Here is a 19,647-nt window from a genome sequence, read left to right on the forward strand (position 1 = left end):
TATTTTATGAATGATTCTATTTCAGAATCAAAAGCTTCATAAAGAACCTCTTTGCTACATTTATTTAATGTCACGTTTGAGATCACTAGAAGGAGGGAATAGAATCTGTGATGACCTTGCCTGCATCATAGACCTCCATCCTTTTCTAAAGAGGAGAACTTGGGGAAGCAGGGGATGGTGTCAGGAACCACCCACCTCCCCCCAGGGAGTAAGACACGACTCTACCATCACTGCTGCAGAGGTGAGAAGTCCTAAGAGGCTGACAGGGACTGCCAACCTAGAGATGACTTCTCCCTGTTCCTTCCTTCCCTCCTCCACCTTTCCGTTCAAGCCTCTTCCTCCATGTTATCATCAGTTTCTGTTTAGAACAAGGCTGTCTAGGACAGAGGTATATTTGGGGGAGCTGGTCTTGACCTGACCAAATCCAGAAGTGCAAACTCGTAGAGCTGTTGAGCAGGGGAAGCCAGCTCACCTGGTCAGGATGGTGGATGGGGAGGAAGAGGAGGACGAGAGCTGGGTGGAGGTGGGAAGATCAGCTGCAGGGACCAGGATTCTCGGGTAGCTCTGAAAGGTCTACTTTTAAGGTGGTTCTGAGGAGAGAAATGAGGTCATGAGCATGGATCTGCCACTGCAGCTGTATGGGTGAAGTATGGCTAGGCCTTTCAAAAAGGCTTCGATTTCTTTGGAACCCGTTGTATTTCATGGAGAGAAACGAGCTTCTGCTGATCATTCATCCATCGATTCATTCAACAAGCAGTTATGGACAGCCTGCAGCCTACCAGGCTCTGTGCATCCTTATGAATCTAGTGGTGGCCAAAAGATTATAAAAATCCCTGCTTTCAGGGGTTCTAGTGGAAGAGACAGCACTCAATAAATAAGTGAAAAATTATAAAAGAATGTCAAGTTGTGAACGTGTTAGGAAGAAAAATAGAGCCGAGTGAAGTGATAGAGCGTGCAGGGACGGCTGCTTCCATCGGGTGGTGAGAGAAGGCTGCTCAGAAGAGGGGACATTTCAGCTGAGAACTAAATAAAGGGAGGAATCAAGCCCTGGGAACTTCTGGGATAAAATCTGTCCCCAGGCTGTGGGAACAAATCTGCACGAGACCTGAAGCAGGAGGGAGCCTCCTGTGTTCAGGAATAGTAACCATGTGGCTCCAGCAGAGTGAGAGAGAGGAAGAGTGGCAGGAAATGGAGCCCTGGGGGCAACCTGACCATCCCTCGGGCCACACTTGGGACCTCAGGTTTCATTCTAAATGACATGATGCCATCTGGACTTCAAAGCATCCCTCTGGTGGTGTCTGGGGAATAGACCATGGGCGGGAAGAACAGCTGGAGACAGTGAGGAGGTTATTTCAGTCCTCCAGGCTGGAGCTGACAGTAGCAAGGGGCAGGCTAGCAGTAACAGAGATGACAAAAAGTGGTGGCATCCCAGGAACATTCCGAATGTGGAGCCACCAGGACTTACTGATGAATTAGATTTGGGTTGTGAGAGAAAGAGAGGAGTTGGCTGTAACTCAAGTGTTGGGTCCAAGCAACTTGGGAAAATGGTGGAACCACTCAACCAAGAGAGAGAAGTCTGGAGAAGGAGCAAATTGGAGGGATGAGAAGAGACTATGGGACATGTGAGGCCCAAGATGCCACAAGACCACCTCGAGGTGGACAGGACAGGCAGGCAGGTGGAAAAGTTATCTATCCCTTCTCTCCAGGAGCAGGAGTGTCCAGGATTGTCCAGAATGGATCACTGTTGATCCAGGTCAGGATGTAGAGATGATCGTCTTGGGGAAAAAAGGAGCGTTTCTATTTCTAGGCTTTCCAGGCACACACAGCTATGTTCAGACATCCAGTGAAGTGTCTGTAATCAGGGATGGCTGTGGATTGGGAGGCCTCACTTTGTGCCATGATGTGGTTGTGAATAGCTGCCTACATCACTGGGCTGGAGGCTCCTGTGGAACAGACAGCCTGAGACTAGACCGATTCTGTGGTGCAGGGCTCCTCCTGTATCCCGAACCACTTTTCCCTGGACAGAAGATGGCTCCCTCACTTAAAAGAACTTTCAGTCTAGTGTCTAGTTGCTCCTGGTGTGGGAGAGCCCACCACACAGTCATGGCCCCTCATCACAGGCCACCTGCCCTCCTGCCTGGGCACACCTGCAGCTTGCAGTGCCCCTGACCTGGCCTGCAGTTTCCCTCGAGGGTGATCTTGTAGCTTATCCTGCTGACAGGCTGACTCCAAGTAGAGGCCTGTGGGTTCTCCCTGCCACTGCTCTCCTCTGCCCATCGTCATTCTCAAGCCATCTGCCCATCTCGCTCATGGTTTCAGCCTGTCGCTCCTATGTTATCTCTGAGTTCTCCCAGATACCTGATTTCTTGCCTCCAAAGAGCTTAAATGATTGTCAGTGGACATACCTTTCACAGAATGATTTTCAGCTTCTCCCTGAGAAGGCAACACTCCCAAAGATACCCAGTGATGATCAATTAATCGATAATCAGCCACAAAATCCAGTCTCCTCTAGAGGTCTCTTCTGACTTACTAATGGCCAAAAGACAAAGACAGTGACTCTTTGGGGTGACTTTTAGTCTTTTTTTGAATTCCTTTTACAAGAAGAGACCATTTTTTTTATACGGGCCCATAACCCAAGCTACCCAACCACATCTGGAACTCAGCTGGTCTTCTGTGAGCTCACGCCAATTTCATATTGAGTCCAGTTGTTCACAGAGGCTTTTCAGTCCTAGATGTCCTGTTCAGTTTGCCTATTCACTTTCTTCTTTTTTTAAAGACCTGATTGTGTGTTCCCTCATGCCATCTTCAGTTATTTAGACCCTGTGTTCACTTTGGATGCTGATGGCTCACAAAAATGCAGCAATGTTCTGGGCTGAGAGTGAGAGATTGTGCAAGACTGAGTAGAAAAAACCAAAGCCTGGGTAGTAGAACAGTCTGTTTCCTCATCTGCAAAATGATCTCTGTGGCACCATAGTAAAGTGTCTTTGGTACTCAACTATGGAAGCCATTGTAATAGCAGAAGCAAAAATTCTGCAAATCAGTTAAACAGAAGAGCCTCACCTCCTGGGACTCTGAAGAAGGAGTTAAAAAGTGGGGCATCCATGGCAAAGTGGATCAACATTTCATTAAGTCAGTGGTTTGAAACTGCATAGCAGGGTAGTGTGATTTATGGGTTTCCATTTTATTCCATTTCTATCCTTTTCCTGTATACTCAGTTTCAGGCATGCAACATGTCCTTGAGTGGACAAGGCCTTGGAAGACACCTTCATTGAGGTCGGCCTTCTTTAAAGACCATTTACCCTTCTCCATACCTGAAATGAACTGAAGATCCAGCTCAGTGTTCTGATCCTTTTATTCCCATCTTTCGCCATCGTTAGGAGCCTGGATTTCCTCTGTACAAAACCTGTGGGCCCAAATCTTTCTTTGGCCAATTTTTCATGGTCAAGTCTGATTGACAGTTGATAACTTTTAGGGCCACATCCCCTCCTTTTTTTTTAAAGTTGTTTCTTATTACACCAGGCACCCCTGAGGTGCTGTATTTCCATACGGTCTATATCCCTTTGCTTGACCTACAGATAAAAGTCATCCTTCAGTTCACTATTTTATGTTGTCTATTAAAGTCACTATAATTCATGAATTCAGAGTTGCCACAAGCCTTAATATGAGCAACACAATAATGCCAGTACTTTCTACATTGTATCATAGCCCTCCTGGCGAAAGCAAGTTGGCAATTTAGTCTCTGCTCTTCATGAGGGATGGGGATGGATTGTGGTTATCAATAAATATTTGATTAATTAATTGACTGACTACCTCTTAAGCCTTTTAAGACAAGATGGGTCCTGGTTCTGCTACTAACTTGCTAGTATTCTTGGGCAAGTCATTTAATTTTGCTGGCTCTCAGTTCCACAACTGTAAAATGATTCATGATCCCAAAGTCCCTTGCAACTTTAAATTACTAAGAAATATATGCATATATATACACACATGTGTGTATATATATACATATACTATATATATAAGATATATACATATACTATATATAAGATATATACATATACTATATATAATATATATACATATACTATATATATAATATATATACATATACTATATATATAATATATACATATACTATATATATAATATATACATATACTATATATATAATGTATATACATATACTATATATATAAAATATATATACGTATACTATATATATATGATATATATATTTATTCCACCATGTTTATTGAAACCAGCCATAGAAGAAGACTCCTTCAACTTGGCCAATACTCTAATATTTAATATATAAAGGGTACAAATAAAACCAATTTGGGGAAAGAAAAATATTGGTAGCTTCTCAGCATAGGGTCAAGTAAAGGCAAATGCCCTGGAACATCTTCCGGAGCCCAGGGTGGAGTGGATCATCTAAGTAGGCCGACCGTGGCCTTTTAGTGCCTGCATGAACATCAACAGACTATAAAGAGACTTTTACAAGTTGATTCAAGCATAGCCACATGTGGGGAAACTAGGAATCTACAAAGTCAATAGAAGTTATTGGTAATTTTTCCAATTTCTTCCTCCCTTTTTCAAAATCCAAGAGGGCCCAGAAGGGGACTAGAAAACAGATATTTGATGGCTTACTGTGTCTTTAGGGCAATATCTATCTCGTCTTTCCACTCGTCTTTCCCATTCTCATACCTCCTTTTCAGTCTCTTTTCTTTCCTTCATTTAATCATTGACTCCTCATTCATCAAGTATTCACAAGGATGGATAAGAAGTGGCTTCTGATGACACAGTGAATACATTAAGACAAATGTCTGTTACCTGACACAGGATGGGGGACACAGGGAGGAATTACTGACAGTCTACCAAAGCTTCCCCCAACTAGAAACAAAGACACCCCCTCTGATGGGGGTGGTGGTGAGCAAGAATACAGTCACTCAGCTATCCACCACTTACCTGGGTGACCATATTCTTATGTCTTCCCTCTGTTGGACTCACAGGATATTGACACCCCATGTACAAAGCCAAGATCATCCTCTGGGAGGGCTTAGCTGGGGCCCCTGGTCGGGGAGCTGCTGGTGCTGGTATCCACATGCAGGAGCTGCAAAAGGCTGGAACAATGTGGCCTCAGAGCTTCAGTTTCTTGAGCAAGGATTACAGGTAAATTTCTTATTCTCATTTTTTCTAGAACTCTCTTTGGTGTGCTATAGTAGAAAAAAAAAGACAAAGCTTTGGAGGAAAGATCTACGTCCAGATCTCAGCCCTCCTACCTACAGGGTGAGTTACTTCATCTCCCTGAACCTCAGTTGCCTCATGAGTGAACTCCCAACTCAAGGGGTGCTTGTGAAAAATGTGACATAATTCATGCACATTTGTTCTTTGTCACATGGTGGGTGTTCAGTAAGTGGTGGCTATTGTGACTATAATGGTTGCTAGATCTCCCACCACACAGAGTTGGTCCTGCTGCCTTTTATTGTCTCTATCAAAATTAATAGAATCTAGAGAGACTTTAGAAACCCTCTCTCCAAAATTGATTCAAGCACAGCCTCATATGGAGGAACCAGACATCTACAAAGTTAACAGAAGTTATTGTCCATTTTTTTTCACACACTTTCTCCCTTTTCCAGAAAATCAGGGGGGGCAGGAGGGAAATGTGAAGCACATGATGACCGTCAGGGCGATGCCAGAGAGCTTGAGTAGCTTTGTTTATTTCATCTGTAATAGGAGGAGTTGGTTCTTCTTAGCTGGGGCAGTCTAAGAGTCAGTGGGACAACAGGCTACTCCAAATCTCCAGCTTTGTCTGCACACCAGCCATGGCCAGAGGGGTGATGCCTTCAGGAACCTCTTATCCTCTGCCCCATGGGTGTGTAGCATCCCTGAGAAGGAATGGTATCGGTCATTTTCCCTGGTCTCTGTCTCTGTCTCTTGGTCTTCTCCTGTAGGACCCCATGCAGTTGATCTGGAAAAGGATGCAATTAGGGAAGACTTGCATGGTTCTTGAAGATCCCTCCCACTCTAAACTAAGCCCCCAGATACACTGGGTCACTTTGCATTTCTTTACTTCCACCCCAACTTTCATCGCCATCTGATTTATTTGTTTATTTGTTTATCACTTGTCTCTCTTCACTAGAACATCAACTCCATGAGAGCAAAGACCTCCTTGTCACACCCACAACTGTGACCTCCAGTGCCTAGAGGGTGGCTGAGCACAGAGCAGGCATAGAGTAAATATTTGCTAAGTGGGTGTGTAAATGAAGGGATGTGAACCTCATGCCCACACACAGGGGCTGGGGCCACAGGAAGCCAGCACATCTAGACTGGGGCAACAGCTAACAGTGGAGGCAAACACCTGGCTCATGAGTGGCCATGGAGAGGCCACACAGCACAACCCCTTTCGAACTGCAGTTAAATGACTTTGACATCCACAGTTGAGCATCAAGCAAATCAGATAAACTAGTCGCTTAGCTACACGTCACCCCTATGGGTTGTTGGTTAGTTGGATTTTTCCCCTTTTGTCTTGTTTAGGCAGATCTGGTGTCCTGAGAGTAGGGTTATCATAAAGCAGAGGAAAGAGATGCAAATAAAGTGGGTGGATCTCAGGAAAGGAAGTGATCTCAGTGGTCTCAGATGCTGCCCATAGCAGGGTCCAGTGGCCGGTTGAGTTGAGTGTATGGGAGGCTTGTGGAAGAACAGTAAGGCAAAAGACCCCTATGGGCACTGAAATAAGAAAATAGATGCCCACCCAAATAGATGACCAGTATCAGGGCTTTCTCCACCCCTGCCAGAGTCGGCCTCTCATTCAACAATTTTCCATCTCACTTCCCATTGTTTTACTGAGACATGGCTTCTTCCTGCCTTGCCATGTCCTACCTGCTTTTAATTGTTCCCAAATGACTTGATGTAATTCCAAAATTTAGCCCTTTAAGTTCTATTTTCACCTTAACCAACCTGGAACCCCATCCTGCCCGCACCCTCATTAAACACAGAGAGGATGAAGACAGGGAGGGCATCATCTACATTGTACATCCCACGTGGCTTCAGCCACACCCTCCAGTGGCTTCTGGAACAACCGCAGAGATCTGCAGCTGTGAGGGGGTGGGAGGTGTCCTCAGGAAACTGAAGGAGATGAGGGCTTCTGGGACCTTCAATCTGGCTTGCTCAAATGTCATCTAGTTTTGCCCCATTGATTTCAACTGTGAATGGGACTATGTTTGTCCATTCATTAGAAAGTACTTCATTTTCCTTCTTCTCATTTATTTTTTAATCTGCCCTGCCCTTGGCTGTAGAAGTGAACCACTCTGTCCACGGCTTAGCAGTCAGGGCTCAGTATTTTCCTTCCTGACTGTAGGAAGAGGCCTAAGTGCCCTTGAGTTGTCCAAGATAGAATCGCTCACAAATCTGCTTTGTTATTGGTGTTTGATCAGTGAATGTACAGAGATGCAATTGTAGCCAAAAGAATGTGGGATATGGAGAGATCGCGCTGGGTCTCACGTTCCTCAGGCCTGTGGTGAGGGTGAAAGAAACCCACCCCCTTTCCCAGGCTACCCGCTGCCCATTGTGTCACTGTCTATCTGAACTGAAGATTCTAACAGAGGATGAAAAGCAGATCAAAACAAAATTCCCCCGAAACCATCAACACAAAAGTAGGAGCTACAGAACTCCAGTCAACTGGACCAGAGAAGAAAAGTGGAGCAATGACTCCCCCAAGTGGTGTGTCTGTGAGTGAGAGCTTGGCTGCTGGTTTTTCATTAACATTATTATCCTTAGAGTTATGGAGCCTCAACCTGATGTAGGATCATTAGAGCGTAGGGTTAATGGGGCCGGCTAAACCAGAAGGAAACATCAAACAGCTGTGCTAGGAAGGGTGGCAAGCCAGAGAATGAGGATGGAGCAGCAGCTATGAATCCTCTCTAGAGGGAAAACAATAAATATGGAATTATTTAGTCGGTGACACAAGGAAATGTTTTGAAAATGCCATTCTTATACTGCCTGCATCAGAACCAGCTGGAGAACTTGTCAAAGGTGCAGATTCCTGGGCCAACCTCAGCCCTAATCAGAATCTCTGGGGCTGGTGACTGGGAGTTTGTACTTTTAACAGGTGCCTTAGGTGAGTTCTAAGTGAGAAGCCAGTAAGTGAGGTGCAAGAAGTCTCATTTACCCACTCTGTAAAAAAGAGAGCGGAGGCAATGGACAGGAGGAAGAAAAGTCGTGTTTAAAAGAGATAGAAATGTTGGGCCGGGCGTGGTGGCTCACACCTGTAATTCCAGCACTTTGAGAGGTCGAGGCGGGTGGATCACCTGAGGTCAGGAGTTTAAGACCAGCCTGGCCAACATAGTGAAACCCTGTCTCTACAAAAAAATACGAAAAATAGTCGGGCATGGTGGCTTGCACCTGTAATCCCAGCTACACAGGAGGGTGAGGGAGCAGAATCGCTTGAACCCGGGAGGCAGAGGTTGCAGTGAGCCTAGATTGTGCCACTGCACTCCAGCCTGGGTGACAGAGTAAGACTTCATCTCAAAAATAAATAAGTAAATAAAAAGATAGAAATGTGAAGGGAAAGAGAATCCTTCATATGAGACTGGGATACACACAGGACTATCTGGGCAGCTGCCAGCCAGGCAGCCAGCCTCACTGAGGGGTTTCTCTCTGGAGCTCTCTTCCTTCTCCCGGTTATGTTAGGCTCCACTGGGCAGGGCTGCCTCAATACACCCTCTCGGCTGTGTGTCCATGTCCAGGTGCCCCCCATCTGGCCCAATGAAGGGTAGAGGGTGTCTAATCACTGGTTGCTGTTGACTGAGTCACCTGGTAGAGAATGCATGGCCCAGGATTTGAAGGGCAGGGTGCTGGTCTTGGTTCTGCCGTCACTGGAGTGGGCATCTTTGGAGTCTCTGGGTCTCTATTCCCTCATCTTCAGGAGGAGGGAATTGAGCTAAAGGATGTGATGGCTCTAGCAGCATCCCAGGACTCTTCTCTCTCCTCTGGGGCCCTGACCTGGAGCTCACCTGGTTTGATCACCCTGAGGGTTTGGCTTCAGTGTGGGGTCAGGGATCTCTAACCCCCCACAGGCCTATGAGGGAAACTTTGAGCCTAGTGCCGCTGATGAGAGAGGCTCTGTCACATGGAAAACTTTACTTAAGAACCCAGCTGCCCCATGAATGGTTGGTTTCCAGTTTCATGGACAGGATTTTCCCAGAAATTCCAGAGAGGGGTGTGGTGGTGCCAATGAGCTGGAATAGACCTTTAGGACCGAAGCCTTGGCATACCCGGGGAACATGTCAGGGAAACTTCCAGCCCCAGCCCCCTTTCTCTCTGTCTCATGGGAAATGCCACCAGGACAGGAAGTCACAGGAAATAGTGACTACACTAAATATCACTGAATTGTGCACTTTAAAATGATGAATTTCATATTTAGTGAATTGGGCGAATTATATTTTAATTTTTAAAAACATTTAAATACTTATCAAAAGGGAAAAAAAGAAGTCACCAGAGGCTTAGGGATAGAAAGAGGTGGAAAAATGTTTATCTTATCACTTGATTTAATATATTGGATAATTAGGATTCAGATGAAACCAAAGTGTTGAGTTCTAGAAGAGCAAGTCAGAGAGTGAAAACTCCACCCGTATCCATGCCAAGGAGGGGCAGTGGGGTCCAAGGGGAAGCACCACCCGGCTGACCTCAGCTCCTGCCCTCCTGGGTGACCTCAGCTCCTGCCCTCCCGGGTGACCTCAGCTCCAGCCTGCCTGGGACTCCCTTTCTGTCTAGCCCAGCTCCTTGTTCCTTCAGACAAGTGGCTGCCGGGGGCTCTAAATCCCACACCAACCCAGAGCACCCTGTGGAAAAATCCTTCCTCCCTTTTAGTCAGCTGGGGCTGGGTGGGAATTTTCCAAAAGGAACTTTTCCTCAGAAACCCTGGGGCAGGGTTGGAATCTAAGTACAAAGGTCTTAGGAAAAAAAAAATCTATTCCACCAGAGTGTACATTTCCATGGTGATGACAGCAGAGACCGAGGTTGGGGGGAAGAGTTGGTGGGACCCTTTCTCTTATCTCAGATCTGAGTAGCGTCCCCACCCCCAGAGACCCTTCCTCCGTGGTCCTCTTGCCCCTCCTGGGATGCAGATGAAATCCAGCCCCAGACCTTCCATGAGATCAAGTCTAAGGGTGGGGCATTGGAGATGGAGGTCTGAATGGCCACCTCCCTGAGGGCTTAAACACAGCCTTTTTTGGTGCTGCTATCCAAATTACTCCGAGAAGGCTGGGTGCAGTGGCTCTTGCCTGTAATCCCAGCACTTTGGGAGGCTGAGGCAGGCAGATCACGAGGTCAGGAGTTCAAGACCAGCCTGGCCAACATGGTGAAACCGTGTCTCTACTAAAAATACAAAAATTAGCTGGGTGTGGTGGTGGGCGCCTGTAATTCCAGCTACTCAGGAGACTGAGGAAGGAGAATCACTTGAACCCGGGAGGTGGAGATTGCAGCGAGCCGAGATTGTACCACTGCACTCCAGCTGGGTGACAGAGTGAGACTCCATCTCACAAAAAACAACAACAACAACAATAGCAAATTACTCTGAGAATTACAGGGGAATGGAGCTGGTGGAAATCATATGCATTGCCTGTTCCAACTCATCCCTCCATCCACATTCCATTCTCAGATGAAGGCACTGAGGCCCACGAGGTGAAGTATCTTTGCTCAAGATCACCCAGGGTGTCAGGGCTGGAAGGACACAGAGCTGGCCACCTGGCATAGGGCACCTTGGAGGCCAGTCTAGGCTCTTCTGTGGCTTCTAGGGACCCGGCCCCGCTGAGCAGGTGAACCTCAGAGTGTGGCATGGGGCTGGTGGGAGGAGAGGAAAGTAGTGCCATCGTGTATGTCCCCCAAACTCTACTCACCAGAGCCCCATTGAGGAAGTACTTGTGGAGTGCCAGGCTTGGGTTGCCCAAGTGGGGGACACAGCCTGAGCCAAGGCACAGGGGATGTAGAGGCCCTGGCATGGTGGAGGAATGGCAAGTCCACAGTTTGACTCTGTGAGGGAAGAGGGCAGGTGGTGAGGCTCAGCTGGAGGCTTGGCCTCAGCTGTGAAGGATTTGGGCTGAAGAACATGGCAGCCACTGTGAGCCTTGAAGTGGAAGTGATTAAAGGAGCTGGTGCAGTGGGCAGATTAGATCAGGGCTGCCCTGGCTGGGACAGCCATCAATAGGACAGCGTAGCCTTCCAGTGAAAACTGACACAGGTCTGGATCAGGTGATGGGAGGCAGAATCCAGGGGAGGACAGATGCAAGAGCACTTGGAAGACAGGTCAGTCGATGGTCAAGGGCAGGGCAGTGAGAGAGAAGGACTCCCAGGCTTCTCAACTAGGCAAATGGGCAAATGGTGACATCATGAAGCAAGATGATGGGAGGGACAGGGGACTTCACAGGTGGGGTTCGCTCTCTCCTCCAGATCTGGTTCCTGCCTTGCAGGGCTTGGAGTGCATTTTCCAAATGTGGTTCCCATGCCACTTCCGTCAGACTCAGAACAACCTGGCCTACTTGTTAAAGACGCAGATTCCTAAGCCCCATTCAGAATCTCTGTGAATAGCCCTGGGATTTGAAAAACACCTGGTCTTAAACTTGGATGTTGGGGACATTGGAAGAAAAGCAGGTTTTAGACTGGAAGAAGAGCAGGAAGACAGTGAGTTTGGCTTTAGAGTTGCAGATATCTCATGGGCAGTTAGCTATTAAACGCTAGAGCTTGGAAAAACCACTGGGTTAGGGTGGATAGAGATTCAAGATTGTAACTGGAGAAATAATTTGAAATTGCATGCGATTTGTCACTTTTGTCTTTGTGAGTCTGTGACCTTTACACAAAGTCTGCCCTAGGCAGCCATGTGTCTGGGAAGAGATTAGAACCTGTTAGAGAAGGATTGCCTAGAAAAAGGCCAGGTTGATATTCAACTTTTGACATTCAAAATATGATCATGTGGCAGGACAATGGTCTTCAAGCCAGGATATTATCCTGAGAGAGGAGTCACTGAATTCCTTCAGTTCCCTCTTCCTCAGTTAGCTCATCAACAGGAAGGCTCCCCACCCTGTCTTAAGGCTCTGGTGGTGAAAATGTAAACGAAGGTAGCTATGGCGTTAGAAGAAACACTGCTCCCTCCGAGGGAAAAAGAAGGTGAAGTTAGGGGGTATGGGGTGGGGTCTGGGGGTAAGAATTGTGCTGCCAGGGACAGTTAAGATGTGGCTCCATCATCCAAGGACCTCCCCAGGACCAAGCTAGACAGCTGGGGGTTCAAGATCAGAGGCCATAAAGCGCACAGGGAAGGAGTCAGCCAAGAATATCACCCTGGAGAGCAAGGGGCCCTCCCAGAAGACTAGACCAGTACCCGCAAGGCCAGGGGCCTCTTCTTGCAGAGCTAGGCCATGCCAGCTGCAAGCCAGTGTGCTGTAATTCAAGAGAGACTGAGGCACCTTCCAGGGCTTTTATAGTTATCCAGCCTGATTAACTTTACTAGCGATAGGCCTTATTTAACAGTTGCACTTATAATCTTGCACATACAAGATGTAGTATGCGTTACATTTCCAGTTTCATGAAGGAGTCATTCAGTGGTAATAGAAGCATGAGAGTCATTGAACTTAGCTAAAGAATGTGAGTATTATGAGAACACTGGGCTGCAGGAGCCAGTGATGGGAAGAGCGAAATGCAGAAAGGGGGCTCGGGGGTGAGGGGAGAGCTGGGGAGATGGTCCTGGGAAGCTTGGAAAGAGAAGTTTAGGAAGACGATGGTGAACAACACAATCTAAAGTTGCAAGAGGAAGGGAGGATGAAGATGAAAAAAGAGCCATTCAATTTGACAAGTAGGATATCAAAATGACATTTAAGAAAGCCAGATGACCATAGTGGTTGGAAGGAAATCTGTCAGGTAAACCACTGGTGTTGAGGCGTGAGTGGGAGATGAAATGGAAACAGCTAGAATGAGTGTTTCCTTTGATGAGTTTGTTACTGGAGTAGGTGAAGAATAATAAATCAGATGACACTTTGAGTGGGTTGCATGATCAGGATTATGGAGGACCTGGATATGTCTGTAGGTAGAGAGAAAAGATCCAGCCAATGAGCAAAGATGAAAGATGCTAGGAAAAAGAGGAGGCTTTTGAGTGTGATGGTTGAGTGGGACAGCTTGGGAAGAAGTTGAAGAGGGATGATTAAGAGGACAGGTGGTAGGACTGGCCTTGTGCAGAAAAGGACCTCTCTCTCCAAGAAGGAAATTATATTTGTCAATATAATTTTATTAATAATTATGTACTTACTAGCCAAAGAACATAATCAAAATAACAGAAAAATTTAAAAAATCAGTCATTTATTTTTCCATGTTTCTTCCCAGTTCTAATACTGATACCTTTATTATTTTTATGTGGTTGTAACCCAACCGCAAGTGAGAACTCAGGAATTCTCAGGTGGAGATGAGGGTTTATTAATAGGTGAGACCAGAGATGTGCCCTTTCCCCTTTATTCTTCAGTAACTGAAAGATGAGGTTGTCTGCAAATGAGGCTGCCCCTGTGGAGGGGAGGCTGTGCTATGAAGGCCTGGGGAGGGTGGTGTATATGGATGAGGCTCATGCCCACAGTGCGCTGGGGCCTTGGCTGCAGGCCCATCTCACGATAATGGGAGGGATGTTGCTGATGCAGTGAATTAAGGGTTAGAACAGGCCAAGTGTGATGGCTCACGCCTGTAATCCCAACACTTTGGGATGTCGAAGCAGGAGGATTGCTTGAGCCCAGGAGTTCGAGACCAGCTTGGGCAACATAGTGAGACCCTGTCTCTACAAAAAATAAGCAAAAATAGCCAGGTGTGGTGGCACACACCTGTAGTCCCAGCCACTTGGGAGGCTGAGGTGGGAAGATCACTGCTTGAGCCTGGGAGGTTGAGACCGAAGTGACCCAAGATCACACGACTGCACTCCAGCCTGAGTGATGGAATGAGATCCTGTCTCAAAAAAAAACAAAAACAAAAACAAAAACACCCAAAAAACAAAAAAAAACAAAACAGTGAGAACAGCAGGATTCTATCAATAAAGGAGTAAAAGCAAAAAGCTGGGGTTACCCCCAGGGATAATTCCTGAAGTACTGTCAGCTTAATTTTTTGTCAATATAATTGTATTAATAATTATGTACTTATTGGCCAAAGAACATAATCAAAATAACGGAAAATTTTTTAAAATCAATCATTTATTTTTCCATGTTTCTTCCCAGTTCTAATCCTAATACTTTCATTATTTTTATGTGGTTGTAACCCAATCAAAAATTGTGGCAGATTATGTTTTCTAAAACTGGCCATAGCAGTATTTCCAGTCCTGTATGCTTTTCCAGAAACTTGTTGCTCTCCCATCATAAGGTGGCATCTCTTTTCTTTCCCTTTGAAACTGACAAGATTTTGTGACTCAATGAATGGAAATGGAAATGACACTGCAAAATTTCTAAGACTAGGTCATATATGATTAACTGACTTCTACCTGGCTTTCTCGCCGGGGTCTTTTGTCCTTGGAACCCAGCCACCATGTTCTGAGGAAGCCCAAGCCAAACAGAGGTGTCCTGGCCAACAGAGCCAGCTAAGGCCTCACCAGATGACCAACATCAACTGATGTTGAATGACCCTCATGTGAATCCAGCCCCTGACATTGTGGGCCCAGATAAGCCATACTGCTGTAAGCCGTCTGAATTTCTGATCTGTAAAAAATGGTTGTTTCATCCCACTAAGTTTTTGGGTAATCTTTATGCAGCTATAGTCACTGAAATACATGGAGAGTTTTGTTTTATAACTTTTGCATTTGTTAGCATGAGGATTTTCTCATGTTGCTTTATAGTCATCATAATTATTTTACTGGCTACAAAATATTTTGAGTTGATGTAGTATAGCTTATTTAAATATTGTGCTATTCTTGGCTATTTAGACTGTTTCTCGTTTTTCACTATTTAAGTAATGATATAAAAAGTTATGCATAGAGATTTTTCTCTTTCTTTGAATTGCTTCAGTGGGACAAATTCCCAGAAGTAGAATTACTTTTGGGTATGAACATTTTTGTGGCTTCCCAAACGTACCACCAAATTACTTCTCAAACAAAATTGCATTGATTCTGCCATTAGTTGTTTGGCTATGTTGGTACATAAAACCACCTCAAATGTGTTTTGAATTAAAGAGGGCATAAGTAAAAAACTGTAGTAAAGAAAACCCTTTACTGTCTTTGCATCAGCATCAGATATCACCATCACTTTTAATTTTTTGCTAGTTTAGTCAATGGAAATTGTATTTTTATCATTGTTATTCATTTGTGTATCTTGAGTGAGTACTGAAGTAGAGATTTTTTCATATTTCAGAAATTGTTTTTACTCCTATCTGAAGCATCTATATATATTCTTTATCCAATAATGTATTTATAAGAGCTCTTGACATCACTGTTTATTTAAAGTATGTCATAATTTCATTAGTGGACTATAAAATATATTGTGGCTCATGACTGGTATTAAAGAAAAAAACAGAGTAGAATAAAATGGAAATATCAGAGCATTCTGCATATAGTAAGATTTTTTGTGTTTTTTAAAAAAATTTGTATATATTTCAGGGGTAAAAGTTCATCTTTTTAAAATGGATATATGGTATAGTGGTGAAGTCTAGGCTTTTCATGTAGCTATCACCTGAGTAGTGTATATTGTACCCATTAAGTAACTTATCATCCCTTACCCCCTCCCATCCTCCCACCCTGCCATCCTTCCCAGTTTCCAATGTCTATCACTCCATTCTGTGTCCACGTGTATACATTACTTAGCTTGCACTTGTAAGTGAGGGCATGTGGTATTTGACTGTTTCTGAGTTATTTTACTTAAGATAATGACCTCTAGTTCCATCTATGTTACTGCAAAGACATTATTTCATTCTTTTTTTATGTCTAAATAGTATTCCCTTGTCTATACGTGCCACATTTTCTTTATCCAATCATCCATCGATAGGCACTTAGGTTGATTTCATATCGTTGCTATTGTGAATAGTGCTGCAACAAACATATGGTGTAGGTATTTTTTTGATATAATGATTTCTTTTCCTTATACCCAGTCGTGGGATTGCTAGATTGAATGTTACTCTATTTTTAGTTGCGAAATCTCTGTACTGTTTTCCATAGGGGTTGTACTAATTTACATTCCCAACGACAGAGTATAGTACGTTTTTTTGTATGAAACTTTTATTTCAATGTAAGTTTGTATTGGGTTGTGATACCCTCCTTCTTAGCGGAGATGCAACAAAGATGTTCTTAAAAGATGTGTCTTATAAAGCATATTTATTAACCCCTTTTTATATCGATGTAAACATCTCCCAGCCTGTAGCTTCCCTTTTTGTATTGAATTATTTTTCTTTTGCACTATTTTAATTTTTCATGTGGTCAGGCCCAACAATCTTTTGTAATTTCTTATTTCAGTTGTAAACAGAAATTCATCTTGTTTCTACAGAGGTGATAAATGATCTATCCTATTTTTTGTCAACTCAATTCTAACTGAAGCATTCTCTGGACACTCGGAACTTCTAAAAATTCACGTTGGCTCAGCAAAATGCAAATGAAGAGCTCTGGTGCAAATGCTATTATGGAGTGGGTAAATTGAGAATGTGTGATAATCACGAGATCACATGTCCCCATTCTCACTTCCAGTTGTCAGTTTATGCTGCCTCAGCAAAACGAGTTCTGGGGCAAATGCTGTATAAGCAAATGTTATAATTATTACCCAAAGATAGCTACCAAATGATGAAAAATATTGAAGAAGAAGTCAAGTTGAAAACGCCAGAACGCATGGAAGAACTCAGAATAAGACAAGAGAGATGGGTTTGGAGACAAAACTGTCAGAATAGAGATGAGTAAAAGGATAGTAATAATCGTTCCTGATTATTGTGTATTTGCCCAGCTCATTTACTCCTCACCACCGTTATTTCCATTTTGCATTTTGCATTCCATTAGCATTATCTCCATTTTACAGATGTGAAAACTGCAGTGCAAAAAGCTATGCGACTTAGTCAAGGTCATCCAGCTTAAATAGGTGCCTGGAATTGGAACTGCAAACCCGATTCTTAATCACTGGCCCATGCTGCCTCTGACGTGGGAGCTAGAGGTTGTAGCTAAAAGAAAAAGGCTAATATCTGGAGACAGCATCACTTACAACTCAAGAGTTATAAAGGGATATTGCAACTGTTCTATGGAAACTTTCCAGATTTCTCCCCCCCTTCTGGAGAATTTATTTCAAATACCTGGATCTAGACATCTAGAATAAAAGCAGTTTCTGCCATGTACAGTGCTGGAGATAAGGGCTGATGTTTTGTATTTCAGCTGTGATTTTCCTGGATTCCAGTCGGATCATGAAATTTCCTAACAAAGACACACGAGAGACAGTGGGTCAGAGCACACAGTTAGCAGCCAGTGTGCTTGGATTTGCTACCAGCTCAGCCTCTTTCTAGCTGTGTGATTGGGGCACGTTTTCCTCATTTTTAAAGTGAGGACAATAATAGAACCAACCTCAGAGGGCTGTTGTAAGACAATGTCTGTCCATAGCAAGTGATACACTAGTATTCGTTATTTTATTATATGCTATAATTATTTCATTTGAAGCTGATATATTTCATATTAGTTATTTTTTTCTGGTTGGATTTTAGGAGACAATCTAGTTTTATCAGTAGCATATTTACAGATAGGGTGTTTCTATGTTGATTCTTGTAAATTACATTGGCATTTTCTTATCTAATTCTTCAGTTTCCAGAATACCTGATATTTGAGAGGGGTGGCCATATGTTCCAGTTTACTCTTGTTATGCTAGTATCACTCTATCTATACTCAAATGTCCCTGTTTGGAAGAGAAATCCTGTGGTCCTCCTATTTGGAGAAGTGCAACCCTCTTACAGGGGGTCACTGTTACATTATATGGGCTGGGTCAGGAGGTGCAAAGCTGGCATAAAATCAAGGATAGTGTGTTTTCTTTTCATCATTTTTCATGCCAGGATCCCCTTGGCAAGCTGCGGAAGCTTTTGGAGCCCTTCTAAGAAAAATGTTTTTAAGTACATAAAATTAAACACACAAGATTACCAAGGAATTCTTTAGTTTTGAAAGACTGCTATCACAATATTTTTAAAAACCAAATTTGTAATATGATAATATATAGGCTTTTTATTAACGACTAAATAACAGGTCTAGTGACAGGTTTAATAACTCTGGTAATTTCAAAGTAGTGATGCACATAGATGACATCGTGAGATATTCCTAGTAACAGTAATGGGATATAGCAAGAGCTGTGACTTTCTATTTGTGACAAAGTTACAGGCCCCACTTCTGTTCTCTATATTCACGATAGAATGTAATATTTTCCATGTCCATGTTCACAGACCTCTCGGATTCAATCCAGACCTCTTGTGGGTGCCAGTTTAAGAACTGCTGCATGGGCCATGCACGGTGGCTCACACCTGTAATCCCAGCACTTTGGGAGGCCAAGGCGGGCAGATGGCTTGAGGTCAGGAGTTCAAGACCAGCCTGGCCAACATGGCGAAACCCCATCTCTACTAAAAATACAAAAATTAGCCGGGTGTGGTGGCAGGTGCCTATAATCCCAGCTACTCAGAAGGCTGAGGCAAGAGAATCGCTTGAACCTGGGAAGCGGAGGTGGCAGTGAGCCGATATAGCGCCACTGCACTCCAGGCTGGGCGACAGAGTGAGACTCTATCTCAAAAAATAAATAAATAAGAAAAGAACTGCTGCACAAGAGTGAATGTTTGAAGCAAGCAGGAGGGAGGCGAATTGCCCAAAGATCAGGAAGAAAAGAAAGAGGCTGGGATGGTCATAGATCTGCCGAGGAGCACAAGAAGTGAAGAGGAAAAATGACACGGAAGATGCCAGAATGTGGACTGATGGAAGTAAAAGGGCAGGAATGGTCTGACAGATGTCTCTGTTGACAGAGGATACCCCACCCAGAATACAGCCCGTCAGAAACGGGAATGTTCACAGTGGCCCAGAGCGCGGACTTTGAAGCCTGACACACCTAGGCGTGAACCCCCGCCCTGCTGCGTTTATCAGCACGTATTTTGCACAAGTCATTTAACTGCTGTGTCTTAGTTTGTCTTCTGTTTAGTGGGGATAATAATACATCCCTTACAAAATTGCTTTGAGCAGCAGTCTCCAACATTTTTGGCACCGGGAACTGGTTTTGTGGAAAACAATTTTTCCACAGACCTGGCGGTGGGGAGGTGGTTTCGGGATATTATTATTACATTTTAATACATAATGAGATAATTATACAACTCACCATAATGTAGAATCAGTGGGAGCCCTGAGCTTGTTTTCCTGCAACTAGACGGTCCCATCTGGGAGTGATGGGAGACAGTGATAGGTCATCAGGCGTTAGATTCTCATAAGGAGCGCGCAGCCTAGATCCCTCGCATGCGCAGTTCACAGTAGGGTTCATGCTCCTATGAGACGCTAATGCCGCTGCTGACCCGACAGGAAGCGGAGCTCAGGCGGTAATGCGAGAGGGGAGTGGCTGTAAAAACAGATGAAGCTCTGCTCGCTCGCCCATCGCACGCCTCCTGCTGTGCGGCCCCGTTCCTAACAGGCCATGGACTGGTACCGGTCTGTGGCCCCGGGAGTTG

At 44.5% G+C, this 19,647-nt stretch overlaps 1 long non-coding RNA gene across 6 annotated transcripts; it reads right to left on the reverse strand.

Moving 5' to 3' along the window:
* Window positions 1-2,556: 2,556 nt before the first annotated feature.
* LINC03060 (long intergenic non-protein coding RNA 3060) lies at window positions 2,557-19,411 on the reverse strand. 6 transcript variants are annotated; one of them, NR_183389.1, is made up of 5 exons: window positions 19,305-19,411; window positions 5,677-5,965; window positions 4,963-5,210; window positions 4,702-4,827; window positions 2,557-3,403 (listed from the first exon to the last, which is right to left on the reverse strand). It is a non-coding gene; the product is annotated as a long intergenic non-protein coding RNA 3060 (long non-coding RNA). The 6 variants fall into 6 exon arrangements; NR_183391.1 differs by lacking the exon at window positions 2,557-3,403 and adding an exon at window positions 17,266-17,383 and having other exon boundaries at window positions 4,277-4,827; window positions 5,618-5,965; NR_183390.1 differs by lacking the exon at window positions 2,557-3,403 and having other exon boundaries at window positions 4,277-4,827; window positions 5,618-5,965.
* Window positions 19,412-19,647: the final 236 nt, after the last annotated feature.

Source organism: Homo sapiens, chromosome 7 (assembly GCF_000001405.40).
Source record: "Homo sapiens chromosome 7, GRCh38.p14 Primary Assembly".
NCBI lineage: Eukaryota > Metazoa > Chordata > Mammalia > Primates > Hominidae > Homo > Homo sapiens.